Source organism: Homo sapiens, chromosome 2 (genome assembly GCF_000001405.40).
Source record: "Homo sapiens chromosome 2, GRCh38.p14 Primary Assembly".
Classification (NCBI taxonomy): Eukaryota; Metazoa; Chordata; class Mammalia; order Primates; family Hominidae; genus Homo; species Homo sapiens.
Genome location: NC_000002.12, coordinates 37,466,830 through 37,490,538, shown reverse-complemented (window position 1 = coordinate 37,490,538; position 23,709 = coordinate 37,466,830). Strand labels below are relative to the sequence as shown.

General features: G+C 41.1%; 1 long non-coding RNA gene across 1 annotated transcript; it reads right to left on the bottom strand.

The window, feature by feature from the left end:
* Window positions 1-11,599: 11,599 nt before the first annotated feature.
* LOC124905991 (uncharacterized) lies at window positions 11,600-22,951 on the bottom strand. The gene is made up of 3 exons (XR_007086288.1): window positions 22,379-22,951; window positions 20,390-20,485; window positions 11,600-17,751 (listed from the first exon to the last, which is right to left on the bottom strand). It is a non-coding gene; the product is annotated as an uncharacterized LOC124905991 (long non-coding RNA).
* Window positions 22,952-23,709: the final 758 nt, after the last annotated feature.

Below are 23,709 nucleotides of genomic sequence, written 5' to 3'. Positions count from 1 at the left end.
GGATGCGGCCGGGTGCGGTGGTTCACACCTGTAAATCCCAGCACTTTGGGAGGCTGAGGCAGGTGGATCACTTGAGGTCAGGAGTTCGAGACCAGCCTGGCCAACATGGTGAAAATACTTCATTAAAAATACAAAAATTAGCCTGTCTTTTTTTGTATTTACTAAAAATACAAAATTTACTAAAATTTTCTTTTTAAAATTTTACTAAAAATACAAAAATTAGCCTGACGTGGTGGCGGGCGCCTGTAATCCCAGCTACTCGGGAGGCTGAGGCAGGAGACTTGCTTGATCCTGGGAGGTGGAGGTCTCAGTGAGCAGAGATCATGCCACTGCACTCCAGCCTGGGCAAAAGAGTAAAATTCCATCTCGAAAATGAATAAATAAATAAAAACAAAAATATGGTTGGTAAAGATACAACTTCAGAATAGTGGTTAAATCTGTGAAAGAAGGAAAAAGGATGGGATGAGAAACAGTCAGCTGTATTGTAATATTTGATTTCTAGAAAAAGAAAAGGGAAGAATAAGGCACATGTTACTTTTAAATATAGTGGTTGGTCACTGGGTACCTGTTAAATTATTCTCCATATTTTTCAGTTTTATAAGTTTTAAAAATTAATAAGCAAATCACTTATATATTCATTAACTCATTTTAATAGAATCTCCCCAATCAGATTTTATTAATACATGTTAATTTTATAGGTGAGAAGACAGATTCCTTAAGGTTACATCCCTTAACAACATTCACAAAGCCATAAGGGGTAGAGCTGGAATTCCAGCTTAAGTCACTTGAATCAGCATGCTTCTCCAAGAAATCCTGATCTTGCAAAATGATTACTCATAGAGTTCTATAAAGATCGAGCTCCATTATTGCATTGAGTATTTATTTTAATTTACCTTAATTTGACTGCCAATCAACTTTTCAGGAGAACATTGAATTTTTTCCTGTATCAGTGCCTACCTGCATTCATGGAGGTGGAAGTCACTGTCTGGGTTCAGCTGGCATTACATTAGAGGATCTGGGACCCTGAACAGCTCGGTTCTAAAAGCACCCTTTCTCCCTGCCCAATATTTCCAAAGACAAGAGCTCGGGGTAGAAGAAAGCCACCAACAAACTCCTATCTGTATGGCTTTAAGCCATCTTGAGATTACTGAAAAAAATCTGTGACTTGGCAGTTACACTGACTTACAAGCTCAGTTTAAAAATATATGTTATAACAGTTAAGCAGCTGTTATTTCTCCTTCCTTTGCCAACTGATTATGTATAGCAAGTTTTGTCATTTTTCCATTATTCACGACTCTTGGGTTATCAGTCATTTGAATAAACGATAACACGCTTCATTGGAAGACAAACCATTTGAAGGTGGAGTTGGAAAATAAGTTATCTAGGGCAATTGAGAAGGGATTTTGTGCATCAGATGGTTTTAATTAAAGGAATGATATCAAATCTGCTTCTACTTAAAGAGGCGAGACACCTCCCAGAGCTCGAGATTAAAACCTCTGTTAGTCTTTTCCACCAAAACTCTTCCTGGGTCTCCAGAAGTTTTCTTTTTTCCCATTAAATACTAGAGAATCTTTCATATATAATCATGGAAAATCATGGTGAAAAAGCCTAATGCGGTGGTTTTCCCAGAGAGAGAGAGAATTTTCTTTTCTGTTTGTTTCTGATTTGTTTTTCATGTTATTGCAAAATCATTAGTATCTAGAATTCCTTAGTATAGAAGACGTACTTATCTCCCATTGTGCCTATTGATTCTCCAGCAATAGCAGTCTCTCTGCACAGTTGTCCATTCCAACCCCTCTACTAGCAGACAATGCTCTGAGCACCCTACGATGTATGACCAAGATCCTCTCAATGTTCGAGAAGGATGTTGAGGACCCCATATCATTTTTATAACTATAAGGGCCTCCCACATTGACAATTTTTGTCTAAGAACCTTGACTTCACCTATTACAGAGTCCCATGTGAACGCTTAACAAATGTCCTACTTTCACTCAACAGACTGTGGGGTTTTCCTCAGTTCCTTTACAATAACATTTGGAAAAAACATATTTCAATGTAAAATAATCTTTAATCAACCATTTTACTGCTACTCCACACTGCCTTTGATCCACAGCTGTAGTGACAGGAAGAGATTCCTTTTAAAATTCAAATTTGAATATTGGCTGGCCTGCTCCTTACAAAAAGTACAATTCAGTCACATCTCTATTATCCCCAAAAAAGAGAAAAAAGCTCATAAAGATATAAGTTAAAAAGTAATGCTAAAACCTCATTTTCTTAAGCCGAACTGCCAAAGCAGTTACATGATATTCTAATAGTAAAACTGGCTTAATTAGAAGTTTATCTCTTTCTCATTTCTTTTTTTTTTTTTGAGAGGGAGTCTCGCTCTGTCACCCAGGCTGGAGTGCAGTGGCGCTCTCAGCTCACTGCAACCTCCACCTCCCGGGTTCAAGTGATTCTCCTGCCTCAGCCTCCTGAGTAGCTGGGATTACAGGCACATGCCACAAACACCCAGCTAAGTTTTGTATTTTTAGTAGAGATGGGGTTTCACCATGTTGGCCAGGATGGTCTCGATCTCTTGACCCCGTGATCCGCCCACCTAAGTGCTGGGATTACAGGCGTGAGCCACCGTGCCCAGCCAAAACATAATTTCTAAAAAAGGTTTTCAGAAGCACACGAGGTAATGCGTTAGATTTTCAGGAAAAAAAAAAAAAAAAAAGGACACCCTTGCCCCACAGCTCCCTAAGTAGTGCTGCTTAGGTAAACCAGCCTTGACCTCCAGGCTGATTCTGGGTAAGCAGGGCTATGTTACCACATGAACTTGAAAAATGGAGAGGGAACAGTCTTATTTTTTCTTTTTTTCTCAGAAATGACCACATGGCCCAACACGTAGTCAGTTCACAATAAATGAGTACAGAAGAGACAAGCAAACCTCCTCCCTGTAACCCATTATTAATTCAGGTAGACTTCCTCTAAGATTCATCCATTTATTTATTCATTCATTCAACAAATATTTATGGAGCAACAACATAGGCGCTGGGGACTCAGCAGTAACAACAACAACAACAACCCTGCCCTCAGGGAACTTATATTTTAGTGGAGGAAGTCAGGAGATTAATAAAATAAATAAGGCTGGGTGCAACGGCTCCTGCCTATAATCCCAGCGCTGAGGCAGCCCAAGGCAGGAGGATGACCTTAGGCCAGGAGTTAAAAACCAACCTAGGCAACATAGCAAGACCCTTTCTCTACAAAAATTTTTAAAAATTAGCCAGGCATGGTGGTGCATTTCAGTAATCTCTGCTACTCAGGAGGCTAAGGTGGGAGAATCACCTGAGCCCAGTGATTTGAGGCTCCAGTGAGCTAGGATTGCACCACTGCACTCCACTGGGTAATGGAGTGAGACCCCTTCTCTAAAAAGATAAAAACTTAAACATAAATAAGTAAAATGCATGATATGTTAGGTGCTAGTAAGTGCTATGGGAGGAAAATCAATCAAGGAAGGGGCATAGATAGTTTTGTGGAATGAGTTAGTCCAATCATAATATAGTAGTCAGGGAAGCCTTCACTGAGAAGCTCTGATATCAGAAGGGAGAGGATTTCAGGCAAAGGACAAAAAACACAAGGTCCCCGGGGAAGGGCAAGGAGGTCATATGGTTACAGCAGATTGAGGGAAGGAGAGAGAGAGACCAGCCATGAGCCCAGAGACATAGTGAACTTACATGGTTCCTTACCAGGGTCTTACCCTAAGGCAACCGAGAAGCCACTGAGATTTTACAGATTGAGACATGACATAGTGGGTGTGTTAACAGCATCACTCTGAGTACTGTACGAAGAATAGGCTATAGAGGACAAGGGCAAAAACAGAAAGACCAGTAAGGAGGTTACTGCAGTAATTTAGGTGAGAGTGAATGGTGGCTTGGACCTCAGTGGTAGAAAGGGATGTGTTGAATGTGGTTGGATTCTGGATATATCTTAAAAGTAGAGTCAAAAAATTTTTGCAGACAGGCTGGATATGGTGTGTATAAGAGAGTCCTCAAGAATGACTCCAAGTTGCTTGGCCTGAGCAACTGAAAAGATAAAGTGCCACCAACTGAGATGGAAAAGGCTAGAGAGTGGGCAGGCCTTTTGGAGAAGTTTGGGGGTCACATCAAGTCTGGAATGCCTACAAGACATCCAGGTGATAAGGCTGAGTAAGCAGATGGGGTCCTGACTTCAGTGAAGTCATCTGGGCTGGACATACAAATTTGAAAGTCATTAAGCATATAGATGCTATTTAAATTTGGGAGAATAAATGATAGCCCAAAGAGAGTGAGTATAATAAGAGAAGAGGAGAGATGCATACAGGACCAAATCTTGGGACCTCCAACGTTAAAGGGTTAGGAAGAATAAAAGGAACCAGCAAAGACAAGAGCAGTCACTGAGGAGGAGGAAAACAGGAATGTGTGTATCCTGGAAGCCAAATGAATAAAGTGTCCTAACAAAGAGGAAGCCATTAACTCTACCAAATGCTTCAGATAAGTTAAAGGAGGACTGTCTTTCCAGTGGGGCTAATGGAGTGTAATCGCCATAAGGAGAGAAGTTTTGTCTTATTCATAGCTGTATCCCAAGTGCCTGAACAGTGCCTGCTCATGGTAAACACTCGGTAAATATTTCATGAATTTTTAAAGTATGAACAGGTATGACTCTTAAATCACAAGCTCAACTGTACAAGAAATGGAAGAGCTCTTGTTTCCATAGACAATTTCATTTCTATTTTGAGCCTTATCCCAAAGTGATGAGAGGAAACTTAACCTCAGTCATTTTCAGGCCTCTACCTCTATCCCAAAAGTTGTCTCAAGTCTGAAAGACTTTCAGGCATTTAAGCATTGGGAGCGGACGCCCAATCCTCATCCTAACTGTCCACACAAGTTCTGGTGAGCTACATGGTTGGAGCTCTGCTGTTGCTGATCCATACCTAGGGCACAGGAGTTTTCTGAGAGGCTGCTCAGACCAGGCTTCAAGGCTATACATGAGCAAGGCCAGATGGGGAAGGACGTCTATAGCGAAGGGGACTGTGGGAATCAGGTGCACTGGTGCCCCACTCATCTGAAGGGAACAGCAACTATTTACTCCCTGTGAGGGTTTCCATGCAGGAGTGTGGCTGGCAATACCGAATCTTCCAGGTTTTTTCAAGAGAAGATAGGTATTTGGATTTGTATGTGAAATCTCTTGAGTTTCAAATGATGGAGATTTCAAGAAGAAGAAGAAGGAGGAGGAGGGAAGAAGAAGGAGGAAGAAGAAGGAGGAAAGAGGAATAAGGAGGAGAAGGAATATGGAGGAGGAGGAGGAGGAGAAGGAGGAGGCGGAGGTGGAAGAAGAAGGAGAAGGAGAAGGAACAACAACTAAGTAGTGTAAAAAACAAAGGCTGAGTGCCATTCCTGCCAGTGGCTGCCAGAGTGAGGCTCAAGCTTGAATGCTCCTACAGACAATGCTTTCTGGTCTCAGGAAGCAGTGCCTGTAGAAGCATTTGTTTTGCTCTGCCTGGAAGCAGGGTGCAATCTCCCAGGCAGCCCCCTGTCTCCCTCCCCACTCTGGGGGACTCAGTCCTAAAACTGGAAAGAAGTCCCATGCTCTCTCTTGCTGCTTCTATGCCTGAGAATTCTCTCCCAACTCTGGGCTTTCATCTTTTAAAAACAAAACCCAGAAAGACTGGCATTCTGCTACTGCCTGCGCACAATCATCCCTATCTTCTCCCCTTGTACCTCCCCTGAGGTCATGTGATCTGCCTAATGGGGGATCAGAAAACAGAGGGACAAGAAAGTACAGTGATAGGAAAGGGAAAAATACTGGGAGGCAAAAAACAGTTAAGCACTCAAAATATTATCCAGGCATGCATGAATCAGGAGAGTGTGCAAATCCCTTCTGGGAAAATAAAGCAGTTCAAGGAAGGGTCCCTGCCCTCCAGAAACTTACAATTGAGATGACAATAAATACATATACTTATGAAATTCAAGTACCATGTTCAGAATCAATTCTGGCTGGAGTTACTAGGAAAACAAGTTATGGAAAGTTTAATTTAAACTCGGACTTGAAGAGTAAATAGATTTTTATTTTTAAGTACAAATCGTCACTCTTGGCAGGAGTGTAAATTAGATTTCAAGAACGCAATCTGCAACATTTACCAAAAGCCTTGAAAATGTGCATTCTGGCTGGACATGGTGGTTCACACCTGTAATCCCAGCACTCTGGGAGGCCGAGGGGGCAGATTGCTTGAGCCCAGGAGTTGGTGACCAAACTGGGCAACATGGTGAAACCCCATCTCTACAAAAAATATTTTTAAAAAATTAGCCAGGTATTGTAGTCCTAGCTACTCAGGAGGCTGAGATGGGAGGATCACTGAGCCTGGGAGGTTGAGGCTTCAGTGAGCCTTGATTGCACCACTGCACCCAAGCACGGGTGACCAAGTGAGACCTCGTCTCAAAAAAAAGTGCATTCTGAATGCTCCACTGATTTTATTTCTAGTAATTTATCTGAATGATGTATTCAATGATATATGAACAAAGAGGTTCATGGCAGGACTATTTATAATAGAAAGAAAGAAAGAGAACAGCCTACATATCCATAAATACAGGGACAGGTTAGAGAAATTATGATGTATCTATAAAGTGGAATATTATGTATTCAAATGAAAATGTAAGAATTCTAAATGAACAGTTAAGAATAAAGATATTGCCCTAGAAAAATGTCTACCAAAAAAATTTTAAGAAAGTAATTTTGGCTGGGTGTGGTGGCTCATGCGCCTGTAATCCCAGCACTTTGGGAGGCCAGCGCAGGCAGATAGCTTGAACCCAGGAGTTCAAGACCAGCTTGGACAACAGGGTGAAACCCTCTTCTCTACAAAAAATACAAAAATTAGCCAGGCATGGTGTTGCACACCTGTGCTCCCACCTACTCAGGAGGCTGAAGTGGGAGGATCGCCTGACCTGGGAGGTTGAGGCTGCTGTGAGCTTTGATCATGCCACAGCACTGCAGCCTGGGTGACAGAGACATTATCTCAAAAGAAAAAAAGTAATTTTACAGCGTGTGTCATCCCATTTTTTAAAAGTATGCATGTGTATATGTACGCATGCTCTTGCGTATTGAAAAGTCTGTAAGGATATGTACACCAAAATGCTACTGGTGGTTATGGTAGATAACTCTCCTCTCCTGCCAAGCAGGTGTACTGCCCTGACCCAGTCATGTTGGGCTTGGCCATGTGACTTGCTTTGTCAATGCAACATACACAGGTGTGTCCTATACTGACCCACACTAATGTGTTAAATGTGATGGGTGGTTTGGTTCAGCCTCTCCTCTTCCCTTCCTGTGAGTAGAGGAATGTCCCAGAGCAGGGCCCTTCCTTTAGCCTGAGATCCAGAATGAGAAGCTATGAGGAGCAGATCCCAGGACCTGCAGAACATCCACAGCCAAGCCCTCTGGTAACATGAAGGAATGATAAATGAATGTTTGCTGTTGCAAGTCACCATGATTGGGTGTCATTTTGTTACCAGAGCAAACTTGAGAAATACAGTGGCTATCACTAGGTGACTTTTTAAATTGAAATTATGGATGACTTTTACTTTTTAAAGTTTTTCATACATTTCTACAGTCTAAAATTTTAACAATGGGTATAGATTATCTTTATTATCAGAAAGGGCAATAAAGATAGAAAAAATCAGAAGAAAAGTTTTTCTGTTTACAAAAGTAAGGCATGATCATATAAAAAATATCAACAACACTAAAAAGTGTAAAAAAAAAAAAAAAAAAAAAAAACTAAAAGTAGCCCATAATCCTACTACCCATGGATAACTTTTGTTTTAGAATATGAATTTCTAGGGTTCTTTTCTCTCTGTTTTTTTAATGTTTGAGCTAATACTGTCACAGGATTCTTGGGGTGTCACTTTGCCAGCTGGAAACCTCTGTGGCCAGTGGCGACTTTGCCTGAATTTTTCTCTGGCCCACTGGGCTCTTTCTACCCACTCAGCCTGACAGGCTGTGCTCAGCTCACGCTACCAGACTCGATCCCATGCCTGCCAAGAGTGAGCCAGGTGCAGAGCAGCAAGGGGTGTGTGAGCAAGCATGGAGTCCAGCCACTGCACACAGCCAGCATACCTGCCACAATGGGGCAGGCAGCTCCAGGGGCTGGCACGGGCACCAGCTCCCTGCGAGGCTGCAGCTGGACCAGGTGTACTGCAAGCAGTTTCCATGGCTGGCACCAAGGAATGCAGTGGCACCTGGAAGCTTGGAGACATCAGGAACCACTGAGCCCGAAAGAGGGAGTCACAGCCCTGGCCTGGGGAGCTCCTATGTCTGAGCCCCTTGAAAGACCACAGCTCTGCTCTCCTTCTCTCTTCTCTGCTTCTTGTCACCTGCAACGTGGCAAGCAAGGGGCATGTTTCAGCCTTGTCTTTGTTATAGCTGTTTCAGCCCCACCATTCAGTGGGGCTTCTTGTCCTGTGTCCAGGAAGAATGAGGTACATGGACAAGTGGAGGGTGAGTAAGGTGAAGAGGAGATTTATTGAGCAACAGAACAGCTCAGAGCAGACCTCCATTGGGTAGCTCCTCTCCACAGGCAGGGTGTCCCAACAAGTGTTAAGCTCTCAGCAGAGAGGAGACCCTGGAGTGGGTAGCTCCTCTCCACAGCTGGTCGTCCCATATCTCTCTTCAGCTCTCAGCAAAGAGGAGACCCTGGGGTGGGTAGCTGCTCTCTGCAGATGTTCGTCCAATCATCTCTCTTTGAGTCTGGCTGAGTCCAAGGGTTGTTATGGGCCTCAGAGGGAAGGAAGTGTGTGCTGATTGCTCCATGGGCAGCCATGGGTGAGCCCAGAAAAAACACCACAGGTTCCCACTCCAGTCTGCAGGACCAGCAGCCTGGGCCCCAGGCTTCAGGCCCTCCCCAGCTTGAAGGTGGGGCTTCACCAGGGACCTCCTTCCACCCAAGAGTCTGTCTGCCTCTTGTGACTATTCATGGCACCCAGGCTGTTTCTGCCAAGGGTTGCCTACAGGCCAGTGCCAAGCTGCCCTCAGCCCCACCTTGGCCTCCCTCCCATGCTTATGGACACCCAAAGTCCTGAGGGGGCCAAGGTGGTAGGGGACTGGTGTGTCAGTGCTGCCCCAAGCATGCGCATACCCAGCAAGTCTGCGACAGCACCTGGGCTCAGCCCCAACCTCTCTCCCAGATTGGAGTGGGTGCCAGGAATGGGGAGAAGCCAGGCAGTGGGAGCAGACACCTCCAAGCCTACAGGGGCAGGGAGTACAGAGATGCCCAGGTCACAGCTGCAGCAAGGGAGGCTGCACCTGCATCCAGGAGGACAGGACTCCTGCCTGCTCCTGGTTCCCGCCAGCTCTGTGATGCATGCAGCCCAGCTGTGCCTCCCCCGCTGCAGTCAGCATCTTGGCAACAGCTGCTCCAGGCAGGCCACTGCTACCTTCAATACTGTATATAGAGTTTAGTATTTTTCCTCTCTTCTTGAAACATAAATAAAGTCATGAGCCACATAATGATGTTTTGGTCAATGATGGACCACATATATATGGTGATCCTATAAGACTATAATGGAGTCAGAAAATTCCTGTCACCTAGTGACACTGTAGCTGCCATAACATCCTAGTGCAACACATTACTCACATGTTTGTGGTGATGCTGGTGTAAACAAACAAAGCACATACAATCATGTATAGTACATAACACTTAATAATGATAATAAACAACTATGTTACTAGCTTATGTATTTACTATACATTTTATCATTATTTTAGAGTGTACTCCTTCTACTTATTGAAAAAAACAGTTAACTGGAAGACAGTCTCAGGTGGGTCCTTCAGGAAGTATACCAGAAGAAGGCATTGTTATCTTAGAAGATGACAGCTCCATGCATGTTTCTGTCCCTAAAGCCCTTCTTAGTGGGACAAGATGTGGAGGTGGAAGACAGTGATATTGGTCATCCTGACCCTGTGTAGGCCTAGGCTAACATATGTATTTCTGTCTTCATTTTTAACAAAAAAAGTTTAAAAAGTAAAAAAATAAAAAATAAAACATTTTTAAAATAAGAAAAAGCTTATAGAGTGAGGATATAAAGGCTGGGCATAGTGGCTCACACCTATAATCCCAAAAATTTGGTGAGCCAAGGTGGGAAGATAACTTGAGGCCAGAAGTTTGAGACCAGCCTGAGCAACATAGCAAGACCGTGTCTCTACAAATAAAAAAAAACTTTAAATTAGCCAGGTGTGGTGGCATGTACCTGTAGTCCCAGCTACTCAGGAAGGTGAGACAGGAGGATCACTTGAGTCCAGGAATTCAGGCTCAGCAGTGAGCTATGATTGCACTACTGCACACTCTAGCCTGGGCAACAAAGTGAGACCCTGCCTCTTAAAAAAAAAAAAAAAAGAACAAGAATATAAAAAAAGAAAATAGTTTTGTATAACTATACAACATGTTTCTGTTTTAAACTGTTATTATAAGAGTCAAAAGTTTAAAAATTTTTAAGTTTATAAAGTTAAAAAGTTACAGTAAGCTAAGGTTAATTTATTATTAAAGAAAGAAAAATACTTAAATTTAGTGTAGCCTAAGTGTGTGGTACTTATAAAGTCTACAGTAGTGTACAGTAATATTCTAGGCCCTCACTTTCCCTCACCACTCACTGACTCACTCAGAGCAACCTCTAGTCCAGAAAGCTCCATTCACGGTAAGTGCTATAAACGTATGCCATTTTTTATCTTTTATATCTTATTTTTACTGTACCTTTTCTATGTTTAGATACACAAATACATACCATTGTGTTACCAACAGAACTGAGTACAGTAATATGCTGTACAGGTTTGTAGCCTAGGAGCAATAGGGAGTACTATAGAGTTGTGTACCTTTATAGTAGGCTGTAACATCTAGGTTTGTGTAAGTACACTCTATGATGTTCACACATCAATGAAATCACCTAATGATGCATTTCTCAGAACATATCTCCTTCATTAAGTGATGTGTGAATGTACTTCCTATGCTAACAAACTTATTGTACACATCATTTTTAATGTCTAAGTTTTATAAGCTATGCCACACTTAACTCTCCTTGGCTGAATATTTAGGTTGTTTGTGACTTTTAATTATATAAATAACTGCAATGACCATCTTTATACACTGAACTTGTTTCTATATTAAGAACTATTTCCCCAGGAATAGGAGAAATTTTAAGACCCACTACATATTGTCAAATTGTTTGATGGATAAACCTTGATCAAAAAAAAAAAAAAGAGTGTAAATAAAATTTCAGGGCTGGGCCAGGCACAGTGGCGCATTCCTGTAATCCCAGCACTTTGGGAGGCTGAGGCAGGCAAATCACTCGAGACCTGGAGTTCGAGACCAAGCTGCCCAACATGGCGAAACCCCGTCTCTACTAAAAATATGAAAATTAGTCAACTAGGTGCCTGTAGTCCCAGCTACTCAGGAGGCTGAGGTACAAGAATCACTTGAACTCAGGAGGCAGAGGTTGCAGTGAGCCAAGATAGCACCAATGCACTCAAGCTGGGGAGAAGGAGAAAGACCCTATCTCAAAACATAAATAAATAGAAATAAATAAATAAATAAGTGCAGGGCCACACTCAGTTGGGCTGAAGGAGAACAAGTATGCTCACATCACTACATAGAATAAGACGTTTCGACATGATAAGGCCGACAATGGGGAGCCATTGCAGGTCCTTGCAAAAGGTAACAGGACATTTGGGGAGATTTTTCAGCTAGTGCTAGACCCACTGTGAACTGGAAGAAGCCAGAGGTTGGAGGCCAGAGACTAGCAAGAAAGTTGTTATAGTTATCTTTGGTATAAGACAATGAGGGTCTGGATTAAGATGAGGCAGCAGGAATAGTGCAAGGACATCTGAGGCACAGAAATATATGGTACATGACCAATTAGCAGTACTGGTATATACAAATTTATTATCAGCAGATTTATTAAGTAAGATTCTCTACAGCTTGGCTCTGGTAGACAGGGAGTCTTTCGATTGGTTTATCATCCATCCATTCATCCCTTCAACAAAAAGGAGGACCAGAAATACACTTCTCCTTAACATTTCATCACCCCAAAAGCTAACTAGGAATATCTTCCAATTATCTCCAGCATAACCTGTTTGTTGTTTTAATGACTTAGAGTGAAACAGCGGTCTAAAAACCCTGAAATCCCACCAAATTACCACTATATCAGGAAATCATCACACAGAAATAACACAATATGAGACCATTTACAAAATTGTCCAGAGTAAGCCTATTGTCTGCATGAATCTGAGATCAGCTTGCTTTTTTATAGGCATAATAGCCATTTGTACTGGAGATTTGAGAATTCTGGATTTGAAGGAACACAACAAAAGAAACTAGTCCTTGAACAAAAAGAGAGAGATTAGAATACTGTTATTGGATTGTTTTTCACTGAAACCTATACTACATGAAATTCTAATTTCATTCATATGCAATCATTATGCTGAAACACAAAAAAGAGAAGGGACAGTTGAAGAGTCACTAATGACAGCTCAGAGGACACTTCTGAGTTTCAAGGCTTAATGTATGACTTGAGGATGAAGACAAAGCCAACAGCATTTTTCCTGAAATGCACACTGAGTTCACAGATGTTACATAATCACTTTTCAATTGGTGAAATAATCTCTTCAAAATGCTTGTCTGCTCAAGTTTTAGAACTGCAATATGTCAGCCAAACATATACCAAGTGAAACCTCATTTTAGAAGATAAACATAAGTCCTTCTTGAGGTGTTTCATGACTGGGATATTGCACTCTTTCATTTGAAGCTTTGGAGAATACAGAATTGGCCTGAATAAATGCCTTTTAAATTTATCTAATAAAAATGTCAAAGCACTGACAGCCAGAATACTCTCCATTTACCCATGTAAAAATAATGGGGGGAAAAGACAAATTAAAAGCAATGAATTCAAATCAAAGATAATCAGAATAGACCTTAGCTACAAAATGTTTCATCCCCCTTCCTGGAAGACCTAACCTCCAAACAGAGTCCCAGAGATGACTCAATTAAAACATATTTATAAAAACAAAGAGTCCTTCTTTCCTCAAAAATGCATTCTGAAGTTTAAAGCCAGCCTCAGATTTCTTCTACACCATTCCTAAACCTTGGTCAATGGAAAAATCATTCCATAATTTTTAAGTTTCAAAATATCTTCCATTACCTTAATTATGTATACATTTCATAGATTACCTCAAACTTCGTTCCCAAGAGGAAAGCATGAATTCAATACAATAGGTAGCAGTGTCTAAGCTAAATTCACAAGAATCACTAAACATTTCTACAGCTAGTTCAAAATGTAAATATTTGGTTCCTGAAGAATCTCTATTATTGCCTGAAGACTAATCTTGTCTAATAAACTTCTTCAAATAAAGCAAAACTATGTTGGGAGGGAACTTTACTTGGTACATACCGCCTTCCAAATGTTAAAAAAAAAAAAAAGCAGTAGTTTCTCTCCACATCTGCCCAACTATTGAGGCAGAGGGATGTATGGTTCAAAAGTTTAACAGGGTATTTTTATTCCCAGCCACACCAAAAAATAACATCCTTTAGTGCTGTTTCAGAAATTTAGAAGCACCATTCAAATACATCAAGTTATTTGCTAAAGAACATATTCTAAAGCCCTGGAATTGAACCTCAAAGTCCATCCTAAAACACAGACCAAAGATTGGGGGTTTTCCAAGCAAAATCAACATATGATTTAAATCTCACTAAGACTAGTTCTTATACTTTAACAAGGAAAAAATATTTTTGGTATTTTTACATGGCCAAGAGCTTCCAGAAATAGCAGCTCTGGGTACCTGTCATCTGATGAGTTTGCAGCAGCCTGATAGCGAACCTCCAGGGAAAAACATGCAAAAGTGAAAAGGGTTTCTAAAAGTAGGTGAAGGGTCAGCAATGTAAGTTCTAGCAAACACCTTGCTTTCTGGTCACACGCGCAGCTAAAAAATCAGGAGTTCAAGTTTGAAGCCATTCATCCTAGATTCAGAATCTACCAGGACCCAATCCGAGAAACTTCTGACTTTCTTTCTAAATGGAAGGTGTGTTTTGACAGGAGAAAGAATAATCCATGCTTCCCAAAAGGCAATGCACAGTGAGACAGCGAGGGCTGGAGACCTCAGAACAGTAGATGCCTCCCCATGGCAAAAACACTGGGCAGGGCCTCAGCCACCACCTGCAGTTGGGTCCCTCTGCCTTCTCCTGACTGCTTCATTTCCTCCTTAACCACCCCTAAGGCTGTGTGTTTCTTTCGTTATTACATCTCCTCCCTTACAAAACTTAGTCAAATTCAGCACTTCCCAGAACTTGGGATACACAGATGTTCACAGGTGCTCCTCCTCCAAATGGTTCCATGATCCAATACTTTTAGGAAACTCTGAGTTAAGGCAGGTTTAAAATGTTTCCTTTGCTGAAGGATTTCTCCAAGCCATCAATATGCTAATGTGTGTTGAGAAAGGCTCATTTTCTAAATTCTCTGGACATGGATCCCTTTTGTGGTGTCATACTTATTAATACCTCACTAAAGAGTTTTAGTGAGTGAAACCCTTTTTGAGTTCAGCAAGAGTCTAACTGGAGGCTACTTGACACTGATCCCAAACTTGGAATATTAAACAACACCTTTAATAAGGCCACACTTTTTCCCCTGCCTCCAATTCAACTTCTCATGGTCCTAAACTGTGGGGGGATGTCTATTGCCCCTTCCCTCCAATCTGATTCCCTATGATGCATGTTTGAACTAATAATCAGAGGCAGAGAAATGTTAAAAGCCTTAAAATTGATCCCAAGGTCCTTTGCACAGCCCCTTTGGCCGTAAGACTTAGGGATCGGACTTACTGGCAAGCAGTATTCCGAGTGTGCCAAGAGTATCCCACACCTCCTTAGACAAATGTATAAGGCACAAATAGCTGGAATTGGTGCACTAAAGGAGATAATGGACATAATAGCATTAGCTGTAATAAAATATAAGAGATTATTATTATTTGCACATCATCAAGTCAGCCCCTTTTATATATCACCATGCACAATTAAGCACTTAATAAATATTTTTTAGTATTGTAATAATAAAACTGAGTAAACCCAATCCATGCAATTTCAGTTTGCAATTAAGTTTCTGAAACACAGAGATATGGAATGACATATGGCCAAAGTGGGGAGAGATGAGAGCAAAAGAAGGGCGTTGAAGTGAGTAATGAAGTAAATGAGCCTATGACCCAGCAAGACTGGTTTGATAAGTTGAGATTTACCCCCACAGGACCCAGAGATGATATCATGGGAATCTATATAAGACCAGCGATGAGGTTATGTGGCTGACAATCCCCAAACCCATCTGAAAAGCACGGGTGCTCATTATTGAGCCAATGTTCCACATATGCAAAGACATAATATTCTAGATAAGCCAGAAATGTGAACATTGATGGGAAAAGGGGGACAATGTAAGAGGAAAGAACAGGAAGGAGATAAAACAGCAGAGATAATCTCCAACTGAGTACCCACCAGAATTTCTGCTCTCTGAAAAGACAAAGGCATTTGCACTGAGTGTAGCTTCTGTGAATCCCATTGCATCATATAAAAGGTATCCCAGGCTCTACTGGCTCAAGAAGAGGCAACCAAGCATCATCAATCCCAAAGCACCAGCTGATTTTGCCAACTCCCAGTCCATCTGTAGACCCCACTGAAAGGACATAAGAAACTGGGACCCAGAAGACAAGAAGTGGCTCAGACTATCCCAGGGAAGAGAGCTTGGGAGGCAGGTGCTTAAGTCTAATCCTCACTCCCCACCCCAACTCCCCAACCAATTTTAATTCAAGGTAGGAATTAAGGTTAACATTTCCTAGATAAGGTAATGACCTTTTGTAAGATGCAATCTTCTAAGAGAGGTAATCAATACAAAAAAGCAGGGGCCAAGGGGACCAGACCTAGCCCTGCTGCTAACTGGCTCTGGGAATTTAAAGATATTTCTGCTCTCAGTCCTTCAATGATCACATCTGTAAGACAGGAGGAGCAAAAGAGATTATGAAAGTGAAGGTGCCTTGAAAGTGTAATGCACCATGGCATGTGAAAGGCCTGTCCTACATGAGCTATGCAGGGCCTTTCTAATGGGCCTTACTTTTGATTGGCTGCAGCCACCATCAAGTAACTTAATGGAACCCATTTCCCTCTTTGGTCCCCCAGAAATGCCAAAACCAACCTGGATTTAATCAAGAGACCTAAGTTTCCCCGACATACTTAGCTCAGGAAGATTGTGCATGGGACCCCAATGCCTTCTCCTTTTCTCTGTGTATCCATTTGTATTTTCTCAGTTATGTTTTTACTTTCTATATGTGTCCAATTTTATTTTCAATGATTGACCTGGATTTTAGGTTTAATAGCCTAAATATCAAATTCTGTTAGTTCAGCTGTATAGTTAAAATGCTTTTACTCTTTTGCCCTTAATTAATGGATACCATTCAACAATGAAGAGTTCTGTTTAATCTTTTTTTTCTCTAATGAGATTTAAATTATTCTTTGTTTGCACATGGCCCAGGAGAGGTTTTTCCGGGGGGGCTGGTTGAAGAAGTCATGCAAGTTGGCCTCCCTTAATAGAAAAAGATTCACTGTGACTGTAAAATCAAGAGCTTCCCCACCTGGTAGTTATTTAGGAAGCTGATTTTTTAACTTAATCACAGGATTTTTACACTTATATTAAATTCCACTTTTGTTAGTTTTGACCTAGCAATTCATCCTGGACATCCGTTTTTAAATTAAGCTTTGATTGCGTTTTTTTAAATGATTTTTTTAAAGCAAAGACTTACAAAGTCAAAGGAAGGCCCAGTCTTCTCCTTTCCCCAGACCCCGCTGTGCCATGGTCAGAAAACAGAGTCTGTAATACTGAATGGCTATTTACTCCATACACAGTTTGGAAGAATGCATGGGAGCAATACCTCTCAAAGACTGCCAACATTGTGTACCCAGATACAATATTATCCTGCAGATAACCCAAAAAGCCAGCTATTGTTTTGACTTTAGGACATACGTGTTTCTAAGACGATGAAGACATCAATTAGAGTCCAAATCCCAAACACACACCTTGATCTCTACTATAAAAATGTATCAGGTGAGCCAACTTGAGAGTACTGGTAAATTCTTCAGCTGGCAATGATCTTGGTCTCCATCAGGGACAAGCTACATTAAAATAAGACCCTTGAAAGGAGTTACTCCAGACCCTTAGGGAGAGGAGCTTGTCAACTGCCAAGTAATTTCAACAGAGAATTCAGTTGCTCTGGAAACAGGTTTTGACAATGGCTGTGTGTGCCAAAGGGTTGAGCAGGCAGAGGGCACTGGGTTCCCGCCCCTTGCATGATACTTGAGGCTTTGCTCTCCAAACAGATGACTTCATTCCCAAAACAATGTTTTTTTTTTCTGAGAAGCTGCCAGTTCATACACATTTTAAAATAAATTCTCGTTGACATTGGAGTGGCAGAAACTGCAAACATTGCTTTTAAAAGCATGTGAGTTGGAAAAGGTAAGCTGGAAAAAGAAAAGAATTTCTCCCCAAAAAAGAATTTGTGGTCACTATGAAAGCTAAACACCTAATCAGCAATCACCTTATCAGCCACAGTATCGATTAAGGAGGTATGTGGAGTTATGCACAGGTACTTTACCTCTGTCTGAATACAGTGTCTTGAGGAATGGGTTCTAGTAATGTCTAAGTCTTCTCTTCCCTTAGCTTCTCAGGAAACCACCTTAATTAAAGAAAGAAAAAAACCAACAGATAATCTGTTCTTACTCAAAGCCTCATTGTTTTGTTTTGTTTTTTAACATTCCATGTCCCCCATCTCCCAAGGGGTACCAGAGGGGAACAGAGATAAGACAAGGAGGACTCTCTGAATGTCATTATTCTCCCTTCAGTGCAAACAGTGAGGCAGGAGAAGAGACACCTTCTCCCCAGTGATGCTCGGCCTGAGCACACATGAGCCTGAGCCATGGCTGTAAACACACTTGGAAGACATAGAGAAAAGGAGAGTTTGCACAGGATAAATCTATTCCATTATTTATACCCACCCCCAAACCTTTGGATTTCTTTCTCTATACCAAAGGTCCTCAAACTTTTTCTGTAAATGTCCAAAGACTATATATTTTAGGCTTTGTGGACCATATAGGCTTTCTGTCTCCTTTCTCCTTCTCTTCCTCCTCCTCCTTCTCTCCTCTTTCTTCTTTAAATTATGAAAACTGTTCCTAGCTCACAGACTTGACCCATGGACCATAATTTGTTGACTCATACTCTACATTATGCCACAGAAGTTGTGACATCTCAGCCTCGGAATGTAGGCCATCATTTAGCCCAAGTTTCAGTCAACTAACCACACTGTCAGGACAACCTCCAGCTAGTTATGCTGACACATTAAATCCAGAATCTCTGGTAAGTGCACCCATATCAATAAATTCAGGCTGACCTCATATTATATTCTATTCTCCTTGGTCTAATGCACTTACAATTTATTCTCACAATACTCCATACTACTCAGATGTTTGCTGTTAAGTAAACCATGCAATTCTCTGGGAGTCTATACTATTTCTTTCCTGTACCTGAGGATATCTGACTTGACATACAAGCCTTGAGGCAATGAAGAATGGGTCTTGATGGAGGTAGGAGAATAAAACACTCTCACAAGACAACAGCATAAGATGAAATTAAGAGTTTTCAACCAAGGAAGAGATTAACCTCAGATATGGAAGAAGGAGCTTGTTCTACTAACAAGGAAAGTTTAGGGATGCTTGCAAAGTTCTAAATTTTTGGATTTTTCTGAGTCCATTCAGAATGCCCTCATTTCAAATATCAAGGTCCCACTTCTTCCCAATCAGTTCTCTAACTTACACATAACAATTTGGTGAGTCTGTGATTTCAGTTTAGATTATAATTCTGCAATCCACACAGATTTGGAGTTTGGCTTTCAGTGATATTTGTTCCACAGCTACAGGAAATATAATGGTCTTTTATAGGGTAACCATAGAAGTTCTCTGGCTTTCTGACTGACACTTAAGCTGAGAATTTAAAACCCCAAACTTGTTATTTTCTTTTTACTATTCCTCCAGTACAGCCAAAAATAAAAGCCATCTCATGCCACAGTCCTTGTAGCCATTAACTCTACATAAGAGTCAGATGCAGTAGTCATTTGGTGCCCCAAGAAACTTACTTTATCAGGAAATTTAACAGAAACTTTATCCTAAGTGACCATAGTTGATAATTTAATTATTATGCCACTGCATACCATGGACTAAGAGTATCCCACTTTTCCTTTGGAAAGGAGCCCAGGGTTGCATTCAAAGCCAAGGTCATAACCAAATCAATCCGCAAATATCATCATGTATCATCTGTCCAATAGGACTATTCTTATTAGAAAAATTCTATCCATTGAAAGAAGAAAGAAAGAAGGGAAGGAAAGAGGAAGAGAGAAGAGAGGAAGGGAAGGAAAGAGAAGGGAAGGAAAGAGAAGGGAAGGGAAGGGAAGGGAAGGGAAAGGAAGGGAAAGGAAGGGAAGGGAAAGGAAGGGAAGGGAAAGGAAGGGAAGGGAAGAAAGAATAATACCAAATATTTAAATTAAAAAGATTTAATACAGTAATCTCCCCTTATCCATGGGCGTGTGTTCCAAGACCCCCAGTGGAGACGTGAAACAGCAAATAGGACTGAACCGTATGTATACTATGTTTTTTCAATCTAAAGCTGCTAAGTGACTAACAGGAAGGTAGCATCTCCAGTGTGGATATGCCGGACAAAGGGATGATTCCCGTCCCAGGCAGTCCAGAGTGGGACCCAGAGGGATAGCACACATTTCATCACACTACTGAGAATGGTGCACACTTTAAAATGTGTGAGTTGTTTATTTCTGGAATTTCCATTTAATATTTTCAGACCACAGCTGACCATGGATAACTGAAACCACAGAAAGCGAAACCATGGATAAGGGAGGACTACTGTATAGGAAATTGTTTTCACAGGAGTTAGAAAAATGAAAGAACAAAAGGAAGGCATTAAAATAACCCAGAGATAAGAATCTACAACCCTTAGGACTAGGTAAATAAAAGAGAAGTGGTTGGGATTATCAAAACCTAGAGCTCAAAAGAGGGATATCCGCTAACCTAGGGCTTAGCCCTCTGAGGAGATAGTACTGTACTTCCCAGCTGCTGATAGAATCTCAGAATCTCAGAGGACCCGCCCCATTGAGCTGGGGCTCAGATACCTGAGAAAGAATGAACACCTGGCTCCCAACAATATCCCTGAGCGGGTAAGATGAAGCTAGTTCTGGCAATGCTAAAAGAAGACAAAGAGAAGAGTAAACTTTCACTGACAAGACCAACGAGAAATAGGAAGGAAGCTCCTACCTTCCAGTCTTCTTCCAATGACAGAAATTAGCAGAACCCAGTAGGAAGTCATCTGGCAAAAACAGTCTGGAATATGTGATTGGCGGAGCTCTAAACCTAGCACCACAGAGCAGAGTATACAATTGTGGTCTTGGGGCTGAGAGTCAATAGGCAAACTATCAGCACAGATTGTGGTATGTTTCTCAGTGTCTTTCTGTTTAAAACAGGCCTGGTGGCATCTACGATACCTTTTAACATTCTATAACTACACTCTTAGTACTTTATTTTTTTTCTTAATTTTTAATTTCCATAGGTTATTGGGGAACAGGTGGTGTTTGGTTACATGAGTAAGTTCTTTAGTGGTGATTTGTGAGATTTTGGTGCACTCATCACCCAAGCAGTATACACTGAACCCTATTTGTAGTCTTTTATCCCACACCCCGCCTTCCCACACTTTCCCCCTGAGTCCCCAAAGTCCATTGTTGTGTCATTCTTATGCCTTTGCATCCTCATAGCTTAGCTCCCACTTAAGTGAGAACATACGATGTTTGGTTTTCCATTCCTTAGTTACTTCACTTAGAATAATAGTCTCCAATCTCATCCAGGTTGCTGCAAATGTTATTAATTCATTCCTTTTTTATGGCAGAGCAGTAGTCCATCATATATATATATATCACAGTTTCTCTATCCACTTGTTGATTGATGGGCATTTGGGTTGGTTCCACATTTTTGCAACTGCGAATTGTACTGCTATCTTAATACTTTAAAATTACATTCTTGTCTGTCACACCCAAATCCAAGTCTCAGACAGGAGAACCATGCCTGAAAAATGAGAAGTCTGCTTCTTCACACAACATCTGTGAATTACCACAATTTAACTTGAATTTTCTTATCTCAGTTCTCTTCTTAGTTTTGGCAGATAAAGCCCAACACTGAAGTAGATTCAAAGCCAAGGTCATAACCAAATAAATCTATGAATATCATTATTTATAGTCTGTCTAATAGGACTATTCTTATTAGAAAGACTCCATCCATTGAAAGAAGAAAGAAAGAAGGGAAGGAAAGTGGATGACAGGAAGAGAAGGGGAGGGGAGGGAGGGGAGGGCAGGGCAGGGCAGGGCAGGGAATGTGTTTCCTAAAGTATATGTTAAAAAGAGAATATAAATTAACAACACCAAAAAGCTGAAACAGGGCCATAGAGGAGCCAAGCTCAAGCATACTCTATAGAATAAGTCTTGGAGTAACCAAGAAGCACTACCTTCCATCTATAATGTAAAACAATAATAACAGTAGTAAAGATGTATTGAGCTAAGGCACTATGTACTAGGTATTAAGTTATTTACACCTATGAATTCATTGTATCTTCCTATCCTATGCAGTACAAATTAATATTATTCTTTTATTGCAGATGAGGGATTGAGAAACTAGCCTGCATTAGTTTCATCTATGTATTAAAACAACATGTAAACTAGAAATATAATATATACAGCTATAGCATGTATATTTAGATAGGTAGATACATGATAGATAGATGATGGATGGATGCATGGATGGATAGACAGATAAACAGACAGACTGATTTAACTCTTCCTAGGCCCACCCATTTGAAGAACCCAATGCCTTAACAACCACAGTCGCATTGTATGTTGGATGTTTGACACGGAAAGAGCATTTGGCAGTTTCTTTGGTCTATTTCCAGTGAAAATAGAGGGCAGTAAACTCATTCCAGATTCAGATTCCAGAACTTTCAGAGGCTGGAGATAGTGGTGATCTGTCTGTGAGGCCTCCATGTGTATCATTTCTCAGAAGCCAGCTAGCAGACCAGGCCACCTGCCAGAAAATGGTTAGCACATTTATGTCAGCTGGTTTGTCAGCCAGGTACCATGGCTCTTTCTAAGTCATGGCTTCCAAACCATGGGAACATAAAACCACAACGGCAGCCAAGATAGCAATAAGAACCCTTTCTTTGTATGCCGCACTAGTGGCTCTGCAAAAAGGTATGTGACATACTTTTGTGCAGTGTAACTGGCAGTTCAGAGCAGCAAATCCCTTCTGACCTGATGCGTCTCCTCTCCAGCTTTTTTGAATTCACTTTCTGTAGACAAAAGTAGAGTGAGTGACAAAATGAAGGATACTTTGATATTTGTTAAGAGAGACTACAGCCAAGTTCTCTCCCAAATCATTTTGTAGCCCTGTCCGATGGGCAAAAGACACATCAAATTAACTCAACTCTAAGAGTCTAGTTCTCTTATTGGAAATTCTTAATTTCTCAGTATTGTACTAAAGGGATTTTTTTTTTCAGTTAACCAGTTATCAGATAAAATTATATATGCCTACAAAGAGTAATGAGAAAAGATTGTTCCACTTTGACTTAAAATGTGATTTTATAACTTCTAGTCACAGTATATGATACAGTAACTGGTACTAGACTTACTTGCCCACTATAAACTATTTTTTCAAAAGGAAAGCATTTATGAAACAACTCTTTTCAAACATAAGCTGCAGACTGCACAGAAATTGATCCCCAAAAGAAAGGAAACAAACAAGGTAAGCCCTAAAACTGTCCCAGCTTTCTACCTGGAGACTAGAGCATATAAAAGCACCCAGCCAGGCATGACAGCTCATGCCTGTAATCCCAGCACTTTGGGAGGCAGAGGCAGGTGGGTCATCCGAAGTCAGGAGTTCAAGACTAGCCTAGCTAATATGGTGAAACCCTGTCTCTACTAAAAATATAAAAATTAGCTGGGCATGGTGGCACGCACCTGTAGCTCCAGCTACTTGGGAGGCTGAGGCAGGAGAATTGCTTGAACCCAGGAGGCGGAGGTTATGGTGAGCCAAAATTGTACCACTGCACTCCAGCCTGGGTGACAGAGCAAGACTCTGTCTCAAGAATAAATTAATTAATGAATGAAAAGAAAAGTGGAGACCACATAAATCTCATGGAGTTAAAGATACAATATTGGAGTTAGAAGAGGCTTGGGCAGCTGGAATTTGCAAGGCAGAGTTCCAAAGGGAAGAAAATCACACAAAGAAAGAGCTTCAGAAAGCTGCATAGGTGGTCCCTTGAGTCTTCAGCAACATACCCTGTTCTGCATATATGTGGTAAGACACCACGAAACTAGGCAAAAAAAAAGAAACTATGAGTGAAAGAACTAACAAGGAGCTGTAAGCTGAACAATTCCCATAACTCATACAAGCCTGGGAGTCATCCAAGTTCTTACCAATTGTGGTGTAGAAATCTCAGAACAAGCAGGGCATTCAGAAAAGACCCCAGAAGTATTAGGGCTAGACTGAGGCTACTGCAGACCTGTGCTAAAAACAAACCTCAAAAGAATCAAGTT